At 48.9% G+C, this 2,609-nt stretch overlaps 1 annotated feature.

Moving 5' to 3' along the window:
* Positions 1,101–1,601: an enhancer, noted in NCBI's record as "H3K4me1 hESC enhancer chr4:142299040-142299540 (GRCh37/hg19 assembly coordinates)". NCBI's record gives its function as "activates a minimal SCP1, AML or CMV promoter by ChIP-STARR-seq in primed H9 embryonic stem cells {active_cell/tissue: H9 hESC(primed)}" and the evidence as "EXISTENCE:reporter gene assay evidence [ECO:0000049][PMID:30033119]".

Below are 2,609 nucleotides of genomic sequence, written 5' to 3' on the forward strand. Positions count from 1 at the left end.
AGGAGGGTCTGGAGGAGAGCCTGACTCTCCTGCCCCTCCTTGGCTGTGTGGTGGCTGCAGTTGCTTCAACCTGAACTCAGGCTGAGTGTGGGGAGAAGCTCATTATTATACTCTCAAAAGTGACTCCTTGGGCCTAAGATCAGGGAGGGTGGAGGACCGCCCAGGCAAATAGTGTGGGCAAGAAGCTGTAGAAAGTGTAAATTTGCATGTCTCACTCTCACAGCAGCCTACTGCAGAGCAGTAGGTATTCTCCTAGATTTGTGTAGGATGGCCTGGTCTCCCTGTCCCTTTTGGGCTTGGTGTTGACTACAGCTGCGTCAGTCTGACCTCAGGCTGAGGGTGGGCCACAGCCCCATTTTAAACTCCCAAAATGGCACCTTGGGCCTGGGACCAGAGAGAGTGGGTCACCATCCATGCAAGCAGCATGAACAAAAAGCTGTGGGGAGTGTGGTCCACTCAGTCTCAGTCCCAATAGCGGCTCATAGCAGGGCAGCAAGTACACTCCTGGGCGTGTGTGGGCTCACTCATTCTTCCTTCTTGGAATAGTGTAGTGGCTGCCACCCAGTCCATAGATCCCAGTGTCTAAGCTGTCAAAATGCCTCCCAGCTGAGGCTGCTCCAGCCTCAGATGCCTGTGTGATATACAAAGTTATGCAATTTTCTCCTTTGAAACTTGATTTTTTCATTATGTTCATCATGGTTCTACAGAATACGAATGAAGTTATGCAATTTTCTACTCCCTCAGAGGGTGTGTGTTAGTTCAGTTATTCTTTACTGGTCTTCATTTGGATTGCCCTTTCCCTTCAAAATATGATGACTAATTTTCAGCCATAAGAGGACACTGAGTTTCAGTAAGGGGGACTTCCTCAGTGAATTCTAAATTAAGAATTATTGTTGAAAAATATACATACGCACAATGTTAAAATATCTAATATTGAGTTTGGCATGAGTATTGCCGAATCAAAACAGGTGTCAGCCATAAGAAATCTGTCTTAATCAAGATGGCCGAATAGGAACAGCTCTGGTCTACAGCTCCCAGCGTGAGCGACGCAGAAGATGGGTGATTTCTGCATGTCCATCTGAGGTACCGGGTTCATCTCACTAGGGAATGCCAGACAGTGGGCGCAGGACAGTGGGTGCAGCACACCATGCATGAGCCGAAGCAGGGTGAGGCATTGCCTCACTCGGGAAGGGCAAGGGGTCAGGGAGTTCCCTTTCCTAGTCAAAGAAAGGGGTGACAGACGGCACCTGGAAAATCAGGTCACTCCCACCCCAATACTGTGCTTTTCTGACGGGCTTAAAAAACGATGCACCAGGAGATTATATCCCACACCTGGCTCGGAGGGTCCTATGCCTATGGAGTCTCGCTGATTGCTAGCACAGCATTCTGAGATCAAACTGCAAGGCGGCATCAAGGCTGGGGGAGGGGCGCCCGCCATTGCCCAGGCTTGCTTAGGTAAACAAAGCAGCCGGGAAGCTCCAACTGGGTGGAGCCCACCACAGCTCAAGGAGGCCTGCCTGCCTGCCTCTGTAGGCTCCACCTCTGGGGGCAGGACACAGACAAACAAAAAGACAGCAGTAACCTCTGCAGACTTAAATGTCCCTGTCTGACAGCTTTGAAGAGAGCAGTGGTTCTCCCAGCATGCAGCTGGAGATCTGAGAACGGGCAGACTGCCTCTTCAAGTGGGTCCCTGACCCCTGACCCCCGAGCAGCCTAACTGGGAGGCACCCCCCAGTAGGGGCAGACTGACACCTCACACGGCCGGGTACTCCACTGAGACAAAACTTCCAGAGGAGCGATCAGATAGCAGCATTCGTGGTTCACGAAAATCCGCTGTTCTGCAGCCACTGCTGCTGGTACCCAGGCAAACAGGGTCTGCAGTGGACCTCTAACAAACTCCAACAGACCTGCAGCTGAGGGTCCTGTCTGTTAGAAGGAAAACTAACAAACAGAAAGGACATCCACACCAAAAACCCATCTGTACATCACCATCATCAAAGACCAAAAGTAGATAAAACCACAAAGATGGGGGAAAAAAAGAGCAGAAAAACTGGAAACTCTAAAAAGCAGAGTGCCTCTCCTCCTCCAAAGGAACGCAGCTCCTCACCAGCAAGGGAACAAAGCTGGATGGAGAATGACTTTGATGAGTTGAGAGAAGACGGCTTCAGACGATCAAACTACTTCGAGCTACAGGGGGAAATTCAAACCAAAGGCAAGGAAGTTGAAAACTTTGAAAAAAATTTAGATGAATGTATAACTAGAATAACCAATACAGAGAAGTGCTTAAAGGAGCTGATGGAGCTGAAAGCCAAGGCTCGAGAACTATGTGAAGAATGCAGAAGCCTCAGGAGCTGATGCGTTCAACTGGAAGAAAGGGTATCAGTGATGGAAGATGAAATGAATGAAATAAAGCGAGAAGGGAAGTTTAGAGAAAAAAGAATAAAAAGAAACAAACAAAGCCTCCAAGAAATATGGGACTATGTGAAAAGACAAAATCTACGTCTGATTGGTGTACCTGAAAGTGACAGGGAGAATGGAACCAAGCTGGAAACACTCTGCAGGATGTTATCCAGGAGAATTTCCCCAATCTGGCAAGGCAGGCCAACATT

Source organism: Homo sapiens, chromosome 4 (assembly GCF_000001405.40).
Source record: "Homo sapiens chromosome 4, GRCh38.p14 Primary Assembly".
In the NCBI taxonomy this organism is placed as follows: Eukaryota; Metazoa; Chordata; class Mammalia; order Primates; family Hominidae; genus Homo; species Homo sapiens.